General features: G+C 42.7%; 1 protein-coding gene across 2 annotated transcripts in view, besides 1 other annotated feature; it reads left to right on the top strand.

The window, feature by feature from the left end:
- Positions 1 to 4,096, top strand: part of STK3 (serine/threonine kinase 3) — a 598,636-nt gene extending 594,540 nt beyond the window's left edge. For both annotated transcript variants that reach the window (XR_007060753.1, XR_007060752.1), the window contains one exon: positions 3,731 to 4,096. The gene's annotated coding sequence lies outside the window, so the exon portion shown is untranslated. The remainder of the gene's footprint in view (positions 1 to 3,730) is intronic.
- Positions 4,352 to 4,853: an enhancer, noted in NCBI's record as "NANOG hESC enhancer chr8:99355446-99355947 (GRCh37/hg19 assembly coordinates)". NCBI's record gives its function as "activates a minimal SCP1, AML or CMV promoter by ChIP-STARR-seq in primed H9 embryonic stem cells {active_cell/tissue: H9 hESC(primed)}" and the evidence as "EXISTENCE:reporter gene assay evidence [ECO:0000049][PMID:30033119]".

Raw genomic sequence — 17,795 nt, 5'->3', positions numbered from 1 at the left:
TTGTTCTATTTGTCGATTCTCTCACCAATATCAGTCTTGATTATCGTAGATTTATAGTAAGTCTTGAAGTTAAGCAGTATCAGGTTTACTTTTTTCTTGTCCCTCAATATTGTGTTGGCTATTCTGGGTCTTTTGCCTCTCCATATAAACTTTAGAATCTCTGTTGATATTACAAAATATCTTGCAGGGACTTTTAATTTTTTTTGAATTGTGATGAATCTTTACAACAAGCTGGAAAGAACGAATATCTTGACAAGACTTTGTCTTTCTATCATCCTATTACCTTTAATCTATTTGTATCTTAACATTTAATGTATGTTTCCTATAGGCAACATATAGGTCAGTCTTGCTTTTTTATCCACTCTGACAATCTCTGCCTTTTAATTGAGATTGTTTCAACATTTATATTTAATGTATTGTTGATATGGGTAGACTTTAGTTCATCATTGTAATTTTTTTCTATTTGTCCCAGCTGTCCTTTGTTCCATTTTTCTCGATTTCTGCCTTTTTTGGATTAATACGCTGTGGTTTTTTTTGGTTTTTTTTGTTTTTTTTTGAGACGGAGTCTCGCTCTGTGGCCCAGGCGGGAGTGCAGTGGCGCAATCTTGGCTCACTGCAAGCTCTGCCTCCTGGGTTCACGCCATTCTCCTGCCTCAGCCTCCCGAGTAGCTGGGACTACAGGCGCCCGCCATCACGCCCGGCTAATTTTTTTGTATTTTTAGTAGAGACGGGGTTTCACCGTGTTAGGCAGGATGGTCTTGATCTCCTGACCTCGTGATCCGCCCGCCTCGGCCTCCCAAAGTGCTGGGATTACAAGCGTGAGCCACCGTGCCCGGCCAATACGCTGGTTTTTTAAAAAATATTTTTATCATCTTTTTCCTTGGTTTATTAGCTATAACTCTTTGTTTTGTTATTTAGTGGCTGCTATAGGGTTTATAATATACATCTCTAACATTTTACATTCTACCTTCAAGTGATATTATAGCATTTTTATGTATAGTATAAAATCCTTTCTTCCACTTCTCCTTTTATGGGCTTTGTGGTATTGTTAGCTATACATTTTGTTTTCACATATATTGTAAACCCTACAATACAATACATTATTATTATTTTTGCTTAAAAATATAATTATATTTTAAAGGCATTTAAATGATAAGGAAAAGTTTTATACACATATATATGTAGCTACCATTTCCAATGTTCTTTATTCTGTTGTGTAGACCCGTATCTATATGTGGTATCTTTTTTTTTTCTGCCTGAAACTTCCTATAACATTTCTTACAGTGTAGGCCTGCTGGAGATAAATTCTTTCAGATTTTTGTGTCTGAAGAAGTTTTTATTTCACTTTTGTTTTTGACAGATAGCTTTGCTGAGTATAGTATTCTAGATTGATACAACTGTCTCACTTGTATTTCTCCCAAGGAGAAATCTGCTGTTATCCTTATCTTTGTCCCTTTGAATGTTGTGGTCTTTTATCTCTGGATGATTTTATGATTTCTCTTTATCAATGGTTTTTGACACATTTTATACTGATGTGCTTTTATGAAATTTTATTTTCATATGCTTTTCTTCATGTTTCTTTTACTTGGTGTTCATTGAGCTTCTTGGATTTATGAGTTTATAGTATTCATTAAATTTGAAAAAAAAATTTGGACATTATTTCCTCAAATATTTTTTCAAGTCTCCTACTCCCCCTCCTCTCCTTTGGTGCTCCAATGACAGTTATATTAGGCTGTTGGAGTTGTCCCACCACTGATGCTCTGTTAACATTTTTTTTTTTTTTTTTGAGACGGAGTCTTGCTCTGTCACCCAGGCCGAAGTGCAATGGCGTGATCTCAGCTCAGTGCAACATCTGCCTCCCAGGTTCAAGCAATTCTCCCTCCTCAGCCTCCTGAGTAGCTGGGATTACAGGCACCCAAGATCATGCCTGGCTAATTTTTGTATTTTTGTGGAGATGGGGTTTCACCATGTTGGCCAGGCTGGTCTTGAACTCCTCACCTCAGGTGATTAGCCCACCTTGGCCTCCCAAAGTGCTGGGATTACAGGTGTGAGCACCCACCATGCCCGGACAGCTCTGTTAACTTTTGAAACTATTTCTTCTCTCTGCGTTTCATTTTAGGTAGTTTCTATACCTCGATCTTCAAGTCCAATGAATCTTTTCTCTCCTGAAATGCCTAGTCTGCCATCAGTTCCATCCAGTGTATTTTAATCTCAGGCATTGTAGTTTTCATCTCTAGAAATTCAATTTGGATCTTTTATATTTTCCACATTTCTATTTAACTTTTTGAAATATAGAAGAACTCAAAATAAAAACTATTTTGGTGTCCTGTTCTGCTAATTCCAACATCTGTGTCAGTCTGGGGATGGTTTCTACTGATTAATTATTTTCCTCATTATAGGTTGTGTTTTCCTGCCTCTTTCCATGCCTGGTTCAGAACAGACACTATTTCCAGTCCTATGTGAACATCAGATACTGTTCCCTCTAATATTTTCAGACGATTCTTCCTCCAGCCTTTAGGTGGCTCTTTTTTGGACCGCCTTTCCCTAGATGACATCACTCCAATTTCTTCCAAATCCTGTATCTGGTGTCCAATATTTTGAAAGGGTCTCTTCCTCACTGGCAAAGCCTGAGGCTTACCAAAAGCAGAAAAGGGGAGTAAAAAGTGTGACTCCTACTAAGATGAAATGGAGAAAAGCACTCAATAGTTACCTGATGCCTTCAGTGTGTTACATGCAAACGAGTGGTTTTGGTATTTGGGAAAGGCAGGTTAAAGAGGCTGCTTTATTTATTTCTTCTCAATGAATATGGGATCATCTTTCCATGATTAAAGTCAAGAGGACCTGCAGTATTTGGGACATACATTGCTAGATTAAGCATACATAGATCTCAAACCACTTCAGGCTCAGTAGATTGCAATCTTTTGTTTTGTTTTAAGCTAAAATGGCCTATTTCCACATTCTCAGAGACACCTAGGATTTTCAGCTATAACATTCTGTGCTTCTAAGGGTCTCAAAATATTTGATAGATGTTTTATTTTATACCTCCTTTATAACCTTGGAGATAGAATTCAAGCTTTCACCTGCCTTGCAACATTACTATAGGTGATGGGATTAGCACCACAAGGTGAGAATTTGGAGAGTCCCATATTTTCTTTTTTTTTTTTTTTTTTTTTTTTTTGAGACGGAGTCTCGCTCTGTCGCCCAGGCTGGAGTGCAGTGGCGGGATCTCGGCTCACTGCAAGCTCCGCCTCCCGGGTTCACGCCATTCTCCTGCCTCAGCCTCCCAAGTAGCTGGGACTACAGGCGCCCGCCACTACGCCCGGCTAATTTTTTGTATTTTTAGTAGAGACGGGGTTTCACCGTTTTAGCCGGGATGGTCTCGATCTCCTGACCTCGTGATCCGCCCGCCTCGGCTTCCCAAAGTGCTGGGATTACAGGCGTGAGCCACCGCGCCCGGCCGAGGGTCCCATATTTTCTACTCATGGCTCCTGTGCTCCAGCCATGTATTGCCTTTTCCATCTGAGTTTGCCCAACCCACTCTAAAAAATAAACCCAGGCCATTTGCCAAGGGGATTAAAAGGCACTGGGCAGCAAGGATGCCTAAACCATGCAGAATGTATTGTCCCCTCCTTCTCCTTCCCAGGCTCTTAGGCTTTCCTGGCAGCCTGACTTTGTGGAGATTCTCAGAGTTTTGCTATAGGTAAATGTTTGTATTTCTTTTGCATTGCAGATACAGGGAGCCAAGGATGGAAGGATTCCAGGTGAGGAGGACTGCAGCATTGAAAAACATGGTAGAATTTAGGTAAAATTTATCTTCAGATGAAAACAGTACCTTCCTAAGGACTTGTCAGATGATAGTTTGCAAAACAATTATGTTTTCTTCAGTGGCCTGGGGCAGTATCCACATGTGGTTTTTATGGTTCTGGAGTTCCACATGGCCCAGTCTCTTTCCAAAATCACATTCAAATAAATGCACTTCAGAAACTAAAAGTAATTTTAGTAACCATCCTTTCATTGTATCTCTTAAATATGGGGAATCCTGTGTATAATCCTAGGCAACATGGTGTGTAATAAATAATATAATAATGATAATAAATTTTGACTCCTTTTAAATTCTCTCATACTCCAAAGCTGCCCTCTCAATCTACACCTCTCAATCTGCTCTAAAACTTTCCCTGACATTCATTGTGAGGGTCTTTCCTCATCCATGATTCTCTCCACTATCACTATTTTCTACCTTGCTACCGCAGCAGAGAATGCCACAGGAGTTACCACACCTCCCAGGCTGCACTAGGAAAGCTGGGAGACCTTGAGGCTTCATACTTCCTTTGCTCTCCACAGAGCGAAGCTGGGAGGACCTCTGGGAATTGTATTTTTCCCTTGCTCTGAGTGCTTTTCTTGCAAGTCAGTGCAAGAAAGAATTACTAATAATTAAAGCTTTTCTCCCTTATATATTTAATCAATAATGGAAAATGCATTGGAGAAAGCTTCCAAGTGAACCCCTGGGGTCAGCAATAGTGATAAGAAACGGCCTAAGAGGCTGGGTGGGATCATTAATTGCCAGCCCAGTGGGTGGCCAGAGTTTCCAAAAGGCAGATCTCTAAGGGAAGACTTGGGGGATGGCTCTGGTCAAGGCAGAAGTAGAAATGTGTGGTCCAGACTCCCTGGCACCCCTTTAGGAAAATTCAGGCTTGCTTGTAGGTCTCTTACAAATGCTTCAGTGGCACCTGGAGTGGTTCGGACCTAGGGGACAGACAGGACATGTTGATGAGGCATTACACAGTGGCTAGGGATGGCCAGATGCTTACAGGTGGGCTGAGGATAGGAGCTTGGAGATCAGAGAGAGGCAATGTGGATCAGGGAAGCCGACTGTCAGCAATGGGGGCAACTAGTAAGTGGTCATTGTCTATAAATCTAGAAGGTGGCACTGGGGGACTAAGGTCCCAGTAGCTGGGACTTAAAGGCAACAGTGGAAAGATCAGGGTGAATATTTTGTCCTAGAGGAATGGAGATCCTGGTCGTGAGCGGCACCTGATGAAGAGGAATTAGATAAGGATGCAGTTATCAGAAATGAGACCTAAATCAAGGTGACCAGCCACGGGGAACAAGACAAAGCCTTATTGTTAGACTCAAGAGATAAGATCAGTCCTGGACTATCAGAAAACTCAGGCAAATGAGCCCTTGAAGTACAAAGTATAAGCACCCAAGGTGCCTTTTAGGAGAGGTTGCTGGACACTGGTTAGAGCATGGGGTAAATGAGAATCCTGGCTCTTTGACCTCCCCTCCACCTGTGAAACGTTACCTAATCTCTCCCAGTCCAGTTTCCTTATCTCTTAAAGGGTGTCAGTAATTCCTACCTACGGAGTAGTTATAGACATTCTGATACTCGGTAATGCAGAATGGGGTTGGAAAACCTGTCAGCTCTTAATACTACGCTTGATACTACCAAGTGGGATTTCATTCTCCAGAGCACTTTATCCTACTGAGCTGGCCTTGATGCTACAGAGAAGGGTCGTAAAACACATCGGCTCCTCTCCTCCTCCTCCCACACCGCCACTGTCATATCATGTCTCATCTACCCATTCAGATCAGGAATGGCCCCAGAGCCTGGGTGTGGATTCTGCAGATGAGTGTTGGGGACATGCTGGCATGACATGCACACACATGTACAAACACGATGGCCCCAAATTACTCAAATTTGTTTGTCAGTCAGTCGTTTGGCACTGGAAATCCCTGTCCATAAAAGCGATATTATGAACAATGGTTTGGTTGCCAGACTGGCCCACAGTGCCTTTCTTGCTCAGGGTAAAGAGGGTAAGCATAGCATCACATGAGGTGGGGACTCCATCTGCATTCTTGCTTTTAGAGCCAACATTTAGAGGGAGGACTTGATACAGGGAAGTTGTGGGAATCCACCCGGAGCTAAGGGGAGCTCTAAAAGCCACACAAAAGCTCTCCCAGGCCCACACCTCTCTTGGTTCCATACTGTGACCAGCTCCTGGTGAGCTGCAATAAGACTCCCAAAGTGGAAGCCCAGATTTTCCAGGATTGAGAGTGGCGGATAAGGGAGTGTCTGAACCTTCCTTGCTGGTATCCATTATTCTCTCTCTTCTCCACTGCTCCTGCAGAAGCTGCTTCAGTGGGTGAGAGCATCTGTTCCTGCCATTTGCCAGCTGTTGTAAGAGAATTAAAAGTCTCGTCTGAGGCTATGATAACAATTTAATGATGAGCCTGTGAATTAGGGCATAACAGCAGAATTGCCGCTTCATTTTCGGGCTTAGATTAGTGGAGCTGACTTTATCCTGCCTGACCACGCAATGAGCCATACAATGCTCCTCTGTGGATGAGGCAGGTGAAATTCTCCAGGAGGGGGGCAGGAGGAGGAAAAGCAATATCAAACTTGATCAGGTGATACTGAACCAGAGGAGAGGTAACAGAATCTGATGCTCAGATGAAATGGGATCTGCAGCAATATCCAACTCATCACGAGTTGTTGGAGAAAGAAGAGGTTTAAATTAATGGATTTTTTAGACAACTGAAAGCAAATGCTTTTTCCCAAAAATGGAAACTTCTAAAAGCGCATTCATCATTGTTCCATGCTGTAATGGAGTTGTATCCTGAGGAGCTTTTGAGGCATGTAAGGCTATTTGCCCTGGCACTAGATGACCCCCTCCTAATATGTTTTTCTATTTGGGGACTGTTCTCTCTCACTCTTTCGCTGTCTTTTGCTGCCAGCTACCACTTCTCAGTGTGTCATCTCTCAGCATTTCCTCACTCTGCTTGCTTGTCTTTTTAACTCTGCAGGAACTGAAGGTTACCAGGGAAAACCAGAAAATCAACCTGCTAGAGCATAACCTTACATCTCACTGGATTCTAAGGCAATTGAGTTGGATTAAGGTGGATCTTCACCTTTATTTCCCCTATATTTATTTATTTCCCCTCTATTTGCTATCACTGCCACCCATATTCTCAAAACACACAGACACACACACACACACACACACACACACACACATTCATTGAAGACCAAGGCCCTGACTCATATCCTTTTTCTGCATCTCTAAACCTGCCATTACTGCCTTTAGATCTAATCCACCAGGGTTCCTACCCTGGGCCCCTTTTTTAGAGGACCCTGCTCTCTAAGAGACAAGAAATCTAAGGGGCCAAGGGAAGAGTCTCACAGACAGCCCATGCCCCCTCTTTCAAGACTATGTTCTGGATACCTAGGACCTTCAAAGTGCCTGCCCATATGGCCCTGAGCCCACTTCCAGGGCCTCCTCCATGGGTCTGTCCTCCAGAGGGTGAGCAGCGCTACTGGTGTGTGCACTCCTAGAGGCATCCAAGTAGCTACTGGTTGGGAAGGTGTGAGTGGAGCTTGGATGTTCAAGCCCATCCCACCTGCCCTGTCCTCCTTGTTCCACATCTCAGAATAGATGGGGGTGGGTGTGGGAAAAGAAGGCAGGCACCTCCATTTGAACTCTTGCAGAGGCCACACCAATCTTAGGGGTGGACTGAATCTCCATTCAATTCTGGGACATGTCAATGCCTCCGAGGATGGTCCATTCAACACACTACCAGCCTTATGAGTTCTTGACTTGCTCAATTCTAAGCACTTTCACCTGCACTCCAGATCTTAGCATTGCACTCCAGAACTTCACAAGTAGTCCTGAATTCACTGGTATTAAGTATATCAAATATAATTTTCCGACTCAGATCATTCCCCTTCCAGCATCTGTCATGTTAGAGACACTAACTTAGGAATCTAGGCCTCTCTTCCTTTCAAAATCTGGACCCTCCCTCTTTTTCCCTCCCATCCCTGTAGCTCTACCCTTTGGGGACACCAGCTGCTCCTTCTGTGATATCCAACTTCACCTCTTTGATGAGCTTAGAGACCTTGAAACCACAAAGGCCTCTATAAGGAATATCTGTAAGATAAGGAATATCTGTAAGATAGCTTCTCTTCTCTACCTAAAATGACACAAAAATCAGAGAAAGAGAGAGCAGCATAAAGGTAAGGAAGAAATCCTTTTCACATCTCCACAGATCTTTCAAAGGCCACCCAACCACCTGTGGGCTCTCCCTTGTTCAGAGGGTTTCCACTTGTGGTTCAGTCTATTTGGACATCCTGCTCCATTTCTCAGCTCTGCACCACCCACCTTTCATTACTTAGAGCAAGCCTCTGCGACCTCTCTTCTTGAGTGTCATGGCAGTGCCTGATCTGACCTTTGCTCTTTAAGCCCATGCTTCCTGCTGCACAAGACACAAATCGTGTTGCCTCATCCTCTCGCTTAAACCCTTTCTGTGCCCTCCCCATGCAGAAGAGGGCCCCCACTCCCTGGTAGGGGTGTCAGGTCATCCATGACCTGGCCTTTCCATGTCTCCAGCTTCATCTTCCATCATTCCCAGCCCCTGCAACATCAAATCATACATGATGGTCCTCCCATACCAATCATGCCAATAAATGCTTTCGTAACTTTGTTCATGCTATTCCTCTGCCTGGACTGTCCTTGCCACCATCCCACCCCTTCAGTTCCCACCCCTTCACATGCCTACTGTCCCTTGACATAGCTCAAGTATTATACCTTCCAACCCTGCTCTCACCTCCTTGCAAAGGCTATGCTGGTGCCCCTCTACTGGGCTCCCACAGAGCTGTTTAAGCCCCTCTGTCTTAGAATGTCCCATATTGCACTGAAATTATCCACTGAAGTATTTTTATGTGCTTTTAAGTGCCTTGAGAGTCCCCACTGCACAAAGCACTCAATATATGTCTGCTGAACCAATCTGAACTGAGAAAAGCAGGTGTATTTCTGTGATACTTATTTCCTTACTAATGACTCACTCAAGTAAAGATACTCATCTAGAGGTCTATTTGCTTGTTTCTGGGTTTTTCTATGGCTGCTGCTTCTATGGCTGAAGTCTAAATGCTAGTTGATCCATCTCAATCAGTTAATCATTATGCATTTATTGAGTATCTACTATGTGCTGAGCATTGTGAACAATTACAATCAGAAGTACAAAACATAGTCCTTGCCTTTAAGGAGATTGTAACTTTGACAATTTTCCTGGAAATTAAAAATAATATAATTTGCAACAGATCATTTTTAAAAGGAAGGACATAAAAATTTCTTTTCCTTTTTACTATATAAAAATGTCTGATTATCAGCTCACCCAAGGTTCCCAACCACAGGGGTCTAGGTTTTGTTCAGCAGCCATGGTCTGCTTGAGAGGCCTGAGAAAAATCAAATAAAGACAAAGTATTGTAGGGAACTGTATATTTTTGGGCAATAAAAAGGCTCTAGAAGTTAGAAAGCAACTACAGACCAAAGCGGGGAAAGGTGAGGACCTGTTTTTTAGTGTTTTGTTTTTTTTTTTAATTTGGATAAAAAACTGGAGTGACCTCCTGGATTATGTGGAACAAGTTTGCTTCCATAGCAGCAAGTTTTGTAGCCCTATGTCATTTGTTCTTAAACAGGGGTGATTTTGTCCCCCAGGGGATATTTGGCAATGCCTGGAGATGTTTTTGGCTGTCACAATCTGGGAGGGGGCATCTGTCCAACGGATGGAGGCCAGGGATGCCGCTAAACATCCTACAATGACCAGGACAGCCCCCATGACAAAGAATCCTTCAGCCCAAAATGCCAATAGGGCCAGTGTTGAGAAACCCTGCCCTGTGTCACAGGATGGGACTGACACTAGCTGCATTCCAGCATCCCACAAAAATAACCAAATGCAATAATGGCTCTTGACAGTCACAAGCTTAACCCCTGGGTGCCTCTGACTCATGCATAAGGACGAAGCTGTGACTTTAACAGAGGCCGGAACAGAGCACTCTTGGATGATTTTTATGCTATAATTAGTTTTAAAATATTCTTACCTTTCTCTCCCTTCCTTGCTCCCAGCTGCATTTCTTTATTTTAAAAGAAGGAAGTTAAATAAACAAGAACAACTCCCAAAAGATCCTTTATTTTTATCATTGGGGTTTTTCCCCTTTTTTCTTTGCCCATGAGGTAAAACACAAAATAATGGAGAAAGAACATCATCAAGGCTGCTGCCAAGATTAGTGGTGGCTCCTGGAGCCTTGCTTAGGCGACCTACTCAGAGAGTCAAACACCTCAAACACAGATGCAGTGCACAGATGGAATATGATCATCATAATTTGTTCATTGTGCTTTCCCCCCAGGGGTATTTCTGGGTTATTTATTTATTTAAACACAGTGGTATATGTTTGAAGTAAGAATATCCCAATCCATATTGTTCTCTTTTCCCCTGTGAGGGTCATGTTTCTTCTGTCAATAACACAGGCTCTGTTTTCCTTGAGCCCCAAATTACACTTCCTCATAAGAAATGAAAATGCCGCAATTTCCTTGAGGTCTTTATTCCACATGATTCTGCTAATGACTAGGGTAAAATTGAGAAGTTCAGGAAAAGGAAATCTCTCCTTCCATCAAAGTGGGTAAACAAACTAAGGGAAAACAAGAAGCTAAATTATGTAGAGGGTTTAAAACATGTCCCATAAATCTGGAGGCTAGCCGAGACCCCCAATGGGACCTCCTTGCCTGTCCACCCAAATAGCCCCACAAGCTACACTCAGCACCTGTTACATGGGCCCAGAAATGTGTGTGTGTGTGTGTGTGTGTGTGTGTGTGTGTGTGTGTGTGTGTGGTGAGGGGATACTGCAGATCAGAGATCAGGAAAATGGTCAAAGGGTTTTGTCAGCATTGCCACGATGACAAAACCTTTTATCTTGGCCACAGCTGACAAAACCCTTTCACCAGCTTGCTGTGGATTTTGTTTCCCAGCATTGGAAAGATGTAGTGCAAATGCTATCAAGCCTCAGTAGTATCATCTCACCTTGTGTCTCCTTCCCCTGCAGGCTTATCTGTACCCATCTGCTTGGGATATTTCACATCAGCACACTAGTTCACATCTCTAAGCCCTTGTGTATAATGTCCCATCAGTCTGAAACACTTTCTATATCTGTCCATCTGGGAGAATGCCTATTGACCTTCAAAAGCTTGCTAAGACAACACTTCTATGAACAATTTCCTAATTTACAATACCCTCCCCTTCCCCCACACACATTTCTGTGTCCATTTAACAGGTGTTATTGGTGCCTCACTCATATCCCCTGGGACTATCCCAGAAACCATCTGAAGACCAAGTGAGCAATTCCTGTCCCTGTCTATGGCTTCATTTCTCAAGCATTTCTGTCTTGACTTGAGGGCTTTCTCTGACCACAGGAGCATGTCATCTCTACATGGGTTAGGCAAAAGTGCCAGGGAGTTAATGTCTCAGAAGCAACTTTTAACCAGTGAGGGACAGGAATTCTTTGATAAACACCCCAGCTTCCTTGCTCCACAATGGGACAATTCCAAAGGCTGCCCTCCACGTGTCTCAGAGGGCTGTCAGTGGGACTGAGCCCCAGTTGCCCACAGTGTTCACCTACTGATCAATACACTCCCGATTGGCTTCTGCTTCCTCACTGTTTCACTTTCTCACTCCCTCATTGTGCTTCCTTGGATCACCTCTCAAATAAATGAATGGCATCCACATCCCTATTTCAGGGTCTACTTTTGGGGGAAATATGTACAAACATCCATGATCTTTTCATCGCTCTGTGTTCTATCTGCTTCTGTGTGTCTAGGATACCTCCTTTGAGGATAGGCACTATTTGTTACTCATTTTTATTTATCACCAGTGCCTAAAACACAGTGGACTCTCTGTAAATGCTTATTGAAGTGAACCATAGGGGAGACTGAGAAACATAGGGGACCATCCGCAGAAGACCTGTAGGGGTGAACCATTGAGCACAGGGATGAAGAGGAGAAAGAAGTTATTTACAGAAACTGTTGTGAGGGAAAACCGGATTAATTAATGGGGATTGAATAACTCTCAGAAACAGCAATTAGAAAATGCATCTGCAGAGGGGAATTTGTCAAAGCAGACAATAATGTGATAAATGAGTGAAAGGTGGACTGCGGAGTGGGATAGTGTCCACACTGGGATTTCAGTGCCTAAGGAGAGGGGATTTCCAGCTGAACCAAAGATGTGGACTGGACTAAACAGAGTCAGGGTGAAGGGGTGACTTGGCTTCTTCTGAGGACAAAACTCCTTGGGATGGTTGAGCCCCAGATTGATGTATCAAATGACACCAAGGTTTAGCCACTCAAGGCTTGCCACCTACTTGCATATACTTACTGCTTAGCACTGAATGTTAACATGGTGGGGGAAAACCCACTATTATTTGCTGTCTAAATAGCTAAGCATATGCTGGGCTGCAGACCCATTGTGAAGGAGTCAGTGGAGACAAGATAGGGGAGAAAGACTATGCTTTGAGACAATGTGCCGCACGTTCCCCTAGGGAGGAAGCAGACAGCCCCAGGAGCAGAAGGCTGGGTGTCTTTCTGGATATCGTACATTGTTTCATCGCAATGCTACATCTTTCCTAATTTTTTCTCTTTGCATCCTTCAGTTTCTTCCATTTGTGATGATGTAATCCTAATGAAAAGCCTCAGCTGATGTGAATGGACAGGTGATGTGAAACACAGTATTCAATTCCACAAATGTTTATTGACAGCCTACTAGGGCCAGGCCCTGCACCAAAGACTAAGCTTGAAGTGGGTAAACATAGAATCCTTGCCACTATTTTGTAGAGCCATATTTGTAATCCTGCTAAATATACTATCTATCTATCTATCTATCTATCTATCTATCTATCTATCTATCTAATAGCACATTTTCCAGACGAGAAGGGCACTGTTAATTCCACAGAGGGGACGGGACAAGGACAGCTTTAGAGGCAGAATGAGGTTGGAGCCAACTTTTGAAGCAAAGCAGAAATTTCTTCAGGAAGTGAAGACAGAGCAGGCATTCCAGATACTCATTCATTTGTTCATTTGGTCACTTTCTTTACTGGACATTTATTGAGTTTGCTATGGTGTGGCAGGTATTGGGGCAACAATAGTGAATAACAGTCCTGCCATTTAGGGAATGCAGAGTCCAGTGTTAGAAGCTGGCAAGAGCCAGGCCATGACCACACAGTGGGAGAAGAGCAACAATGAGTAGCTGGCATGATGTGTGTGGCCCTCTTTATGGCCCCGCATGCTTCCAGCCTGGAAAACATTTGTAGGGGTGAGTCAAGGATGGTGTCCTAAGGGAGATGACATCCCAGCTGAGAACTAAAGGTTGAGTAGGCATTGTCCATGTGAGACTAAAGCAGAATATTCTAGGCAAAAGGGCCTTTTCATGCAAAGGCTGAAGAATGAAGAGGCCCATTTAGGAGGATAGTGAGAGATGAGGCTGGAGAGGTAAGCTGGGACGAGGTCATGAGGGCCGTTTGAAGGAATCTGGACTTTATTCTTATGGCAAGGGGAAATTATTAGAAGCCTTAAGCATGGACATGCCATGTTCAGGCTTGCATTTTAGAAAGATCATTCTGGCTACTGAGTAGAGGATGGTTTGCAGGGGAGAAGGAAGACCAGTTCAAAGGTGGCGGCAGTAATTCAGGTGAGAAATGATGAGGGCCTAGGAATGGGTGGTAACAGTAGGCAGGGATGGAGAGAAATGACCCAAGTAGCACCTGCACATGCCCATAAGCACCAAAGAATGCAGTGGAGCTGAGAGATCCCACGTAAGGTGGTCATAGCCCAGAGTAGAGAGCAGAAATGGATGGGAACCGAGGCTGGAGCCAAATGTTGGGACCTCTAATGCTACACTAAGAAGTTTGGAATTCACTCCAGAGGCAACAGTAAGCCATTGAAGGCTTGAAGGAAAAGAAGATTATAATTCTGATATCCCAAAAGGGTAGATTCGCAACAGAAGAAACAGTTGCCATTTTGGTTAATGTAACAGTCTAGGTGCAAAACTTGAGCCAAGTTGTTGACTCTCTCAGCCTATCAGATGATATCTCTACCTCAACTGTAATGTGGACATAGTAGTCTTTAAAATGGGTAAAATGGGTAAAAATCTATTTTATAAGACTAAAGAGGATTATGAAGGTTCATGAGTTAATATGTAAAATGATTAGGATCATGTCTGATACATAGTCTATTAATCAGAGTTCTCTGGAGAAACAGAACCAACAGGCTATGTCTATATATGGTTTTGGCTCTATGGAGGCTGAAAACTCTCAAGAGGGACCATCTGCACACTGGAGACCTGGGAAAGTTGGTGGTGTCATTCGAAGGCCTGAAAGCTGGAGGGCAGGTGGTGTAGTTTCCAGTCCAGACCTGAAGGCCTGAGAACCAAGAGCGCTATGTCCCAGCTCAAGCAGCCCGGCCAAGAGCATATTTGATCTTCCTCCTTTTTGTTCTATTCAGTCCCTCAACAGATGAGATGTGACCCACCCACATTAAGGAGGGCCATCTGCTTTACCAATTCAAATGTTCATCTTTCCGCAAATACTCCCTAGATAGATACACCCTGGAATGATGTTTAACTGTGCCCCAGTCTGAGCATCCTGTGGCCCAGTCAAGTTGATGCATTAAATTAACCTTCACACATAGTAAACATTTGGTGTTAGCTTTATTTGTTTACTAATTGTCATGAGAATTAAATTACATGGTGTATATAAAATTCTCAGAAGTGATGGTCCATACACATTAATCAATAAATAATAAGTATTGCTATTAGTTTTTTTATTTTGTTATTAGTGCTGAGGTTATGAAGTTGGGCTATGACCCTGGAGAGCCAAGAGGAGTGAATCACGTCAGCAATGTCATGCTGAATATAAATCTTGATTTAAAAACACTCCCCAAAAATAAAAGAGAGAGAAGGGCTCTCTTTTCATTATATCAGGGCAGTTGGATGTAAGAAAGCTGGCGAATTTATTCTGAAATATTATGATAAGATTAAGAAAAATGGGCATATGGTGAGAATTATTTGTTAGGTTTCAAACATCTCAAATTCCTATATTTGAGTATCCTAAAAAAAATTGTATGCACAGACTGTATTGTCAGTACAAATATTTGCAAAAGTGAGTTACTTCATTCCAGACTAGATTCTTTTTGTTATATGAAAGTTTCAGAGCTTGCCCTTTCTAGGTCAGTGAGACATAAAATTGGCTGATTTTTTTTTTCCTTTACCTACACACAGAAGGGTGTTTACCCTAAAAATCAAACAAAGCAGAAAATGTGCAGTATTTGAAATCTTTGGCTCCACACAGGGAGAGCCTCTGACAGCAGCTCTGCAGCTGGCCTTAGGAATTGCCACCATGCTGTGGAAGTCTGCACCTTCCAGAGTGATGCAAGGACTGTGACCCAGGTTTTGGCATATTCCTCACCAAAGACCGTGTTAGAGAGACGAGCCAGGGTAAGCTCTCATCTCCTGCACAAAATATGCAAACACACAAGAATGAGACCTTCTCTTGCATTGTGTCAGAACAGCAGGAATTTTTACAAGACAATTTTGAAGGCTATAGCTGGGCACAGTGTTGAAAACCCCCCACAGGACCGATTGCAGAGTGAACACCCTGATCAAGATGGTGTCTTAAACTCCATGAACTTCCCCTGTGGGTAACAAAGCAATAAGTAATACTTGTGCAACCCTGTGAAATTATTTTCCTTTCTACGCTCCCTGGTTACTCATGTTCTCTGTACACTCGAGAACAAAATGGTGACCATTAGGCTGTGTTTACTCAGCAAGTGCTGGTGTCCTTAGGAGCCTTTTTAGCCCAATAGTCTGTGATTTTGAGAGCTGGCTCCAAACTGGCCCCAGGAAGGATCTTATTACTTTTCCAAAACACTGGAAATCATCATTTGGACACAAAAGTTAGAAGCTGCCTCAATCATCCAGTTAAAAGCAAACAGCTATGTGGTTAGGAAAGAGGTTGATTTCCCATTGCTTCCTCTGTATTGTGGTCTGTACAAGAACTTGGTACCACCTAAATCTATTGAGATCCACGCTGAATAAATAGGATGAGTTTTTAAATATGTCAATGTTTTGACCCTAGACTTGTCAATGCAATATCAACCTCACATAACTTGATACTAAGATTATCTGGGGCCAGGTGCGGTGGCTCACGCCTGTAATCCCAGCACTTTGGAAGGCCAAGGCAGGAGGATCCCTTGAGCCCAGTAGTTCAAGACCAGCCTGGGCAACACAGTGAGACCCTGTCTCAATAATAAATAGATAGACAGATGATAGATAGATAGATAGGTAGATAGATAGATAATCTGGGTATATGCACTCTTGTTCCCTCCGCCCCCCGCTTTCTCTTTCTCTTCTGTTTTGGAAATGATGGTTTTGAATTTAAATGAGATAGAGGAAAGATGAGTGAGAACAAGACATTTGGAGTACCCACAACCAACGTGAAGTTTCTGAGTTCATATTCCCTCTTCATGCCCCATTCAGATTGATTCATGAGCACACAGAAGCCTGCTGACCATATCCACAGTGCATCTAAAACCACATTTGAATGGCATTTCTTGCTGTGGTTTTGTTTGTCTGTTTGAGACAGGGTCTTGCTCTGTCATTTAAGTTGGAGTGCAGTGGCACAATCACAGCTCACTGCAACCTCGAACTCCTGGACTCAAGAAATCCTCCTGCCCTAGCCTCCCAAAGAAGTAGCTAGGACTACAAGTGCATGCGTCACCATGCCCAGCTAATTTTTGCATTTTTTGTAGAGACAGGTCTCACCATGTTGCCCAGGCTGATCTTGAACTCCTGGCCTCAAGTAATCCACCTGCCTAAGCCTCCCAAAGCACTGGGATTACAGGGTGAGCCATTGCATCTGGCCTGTTCCAATTTCTTTACATTTTGTTTCCTCAGTGATTTATGGACTGAGCCTCTCAGGGTGGCTTACAGGATTCAAGAGAAAGCAAATCTATGATTTAGTTAAGATATTGATTCTGTAGAGTAAATCAGACTGGCAATAAAAGAGAGAAAAAAATGTAGGATGTTGTTGGTTGGTGAGGAGGAGTTGTGCTGTTGGACTTTATTGTGAGGATTCCATTCAAACGTACTCCAGTGCACTGGCAGTGAGTTTTGTGTCAATTCTATTATCCCTCATCATGTAATTGTGGATAAGTAATTTAAATGGAAACATCTTGGGCTGGACAGAGAATGGTTTTTGGAGTCAGACAGATCTGAGTTTAAATCCTGGCTCTCCTACTTAAATAGAGAGTGATCTTGGGCAGGTTAATTACCCTCTCTGAGCCAGTTTCCTCATCAGTCAAATGGAGAGGGTAATCTTACCTCATACATTTTATGAAGGATAAAAGAGATGATGTATGTGAAATGCCTTTCACTTCCTCCTGTTTTCTTTTTCCAGCTTTGAAAAATCAATTATACCTACCAACTATTTGTCCAACAGCCTCTTGGGAAGATTAGTTATTACCTAGAAACCAGCTTTAGTGAGTAAAATAAATTAGTTCACAAAATCATGGCGATTAAAAATTAAGTAGTGCAAATGCCCAGGGTCCTGAGGAGTGGGTGACAGTCCCTGTATTTTGTGAAATGCATTTTGATAGGGAAAGGTTTGAGGACAAGTAAGATGTGTTTAAGAGTGATTTTTGTAGCACTTGCTTTCAGGTACTAGGTCAAATTTTCTGATTTCTAAGGCTTCATGATTATACGTGAGAGCAGATATTCAAATACAGTAACTTTGGGGAACTGTGTCATAAAACACATATGTTACCAAATTAAAATTTCTTATTTGGCATTATTCCATAGAGAATCCTTAATTATTTGGTTCAATGATCTCTGTGTACCAAAGAAACAATATGTGTGCATGTGCATTTATGGAGAGAGAGAGCTCTGTTTGTAGTGAATTTCACAAATGCCTTAAAATTAGATAA

The sequence above is a fragment of the Homo sapiens genome, chromosome 8 (genome assembly GCF_000001405.40).
Source record: "Homo sapiens chromosome 8, GRCh38.p14 Primary Assembly".
Lineage (NCBI taxonomy): Eukaryota > Metazoa > Chordata > Mammalia > Primates > Hominidae > Homo > Homo sapiens.
Note: the sequence above shows the minus strand (reverse complement) of the source record. Positions and strands in the feature narration are given on the sequence as shown.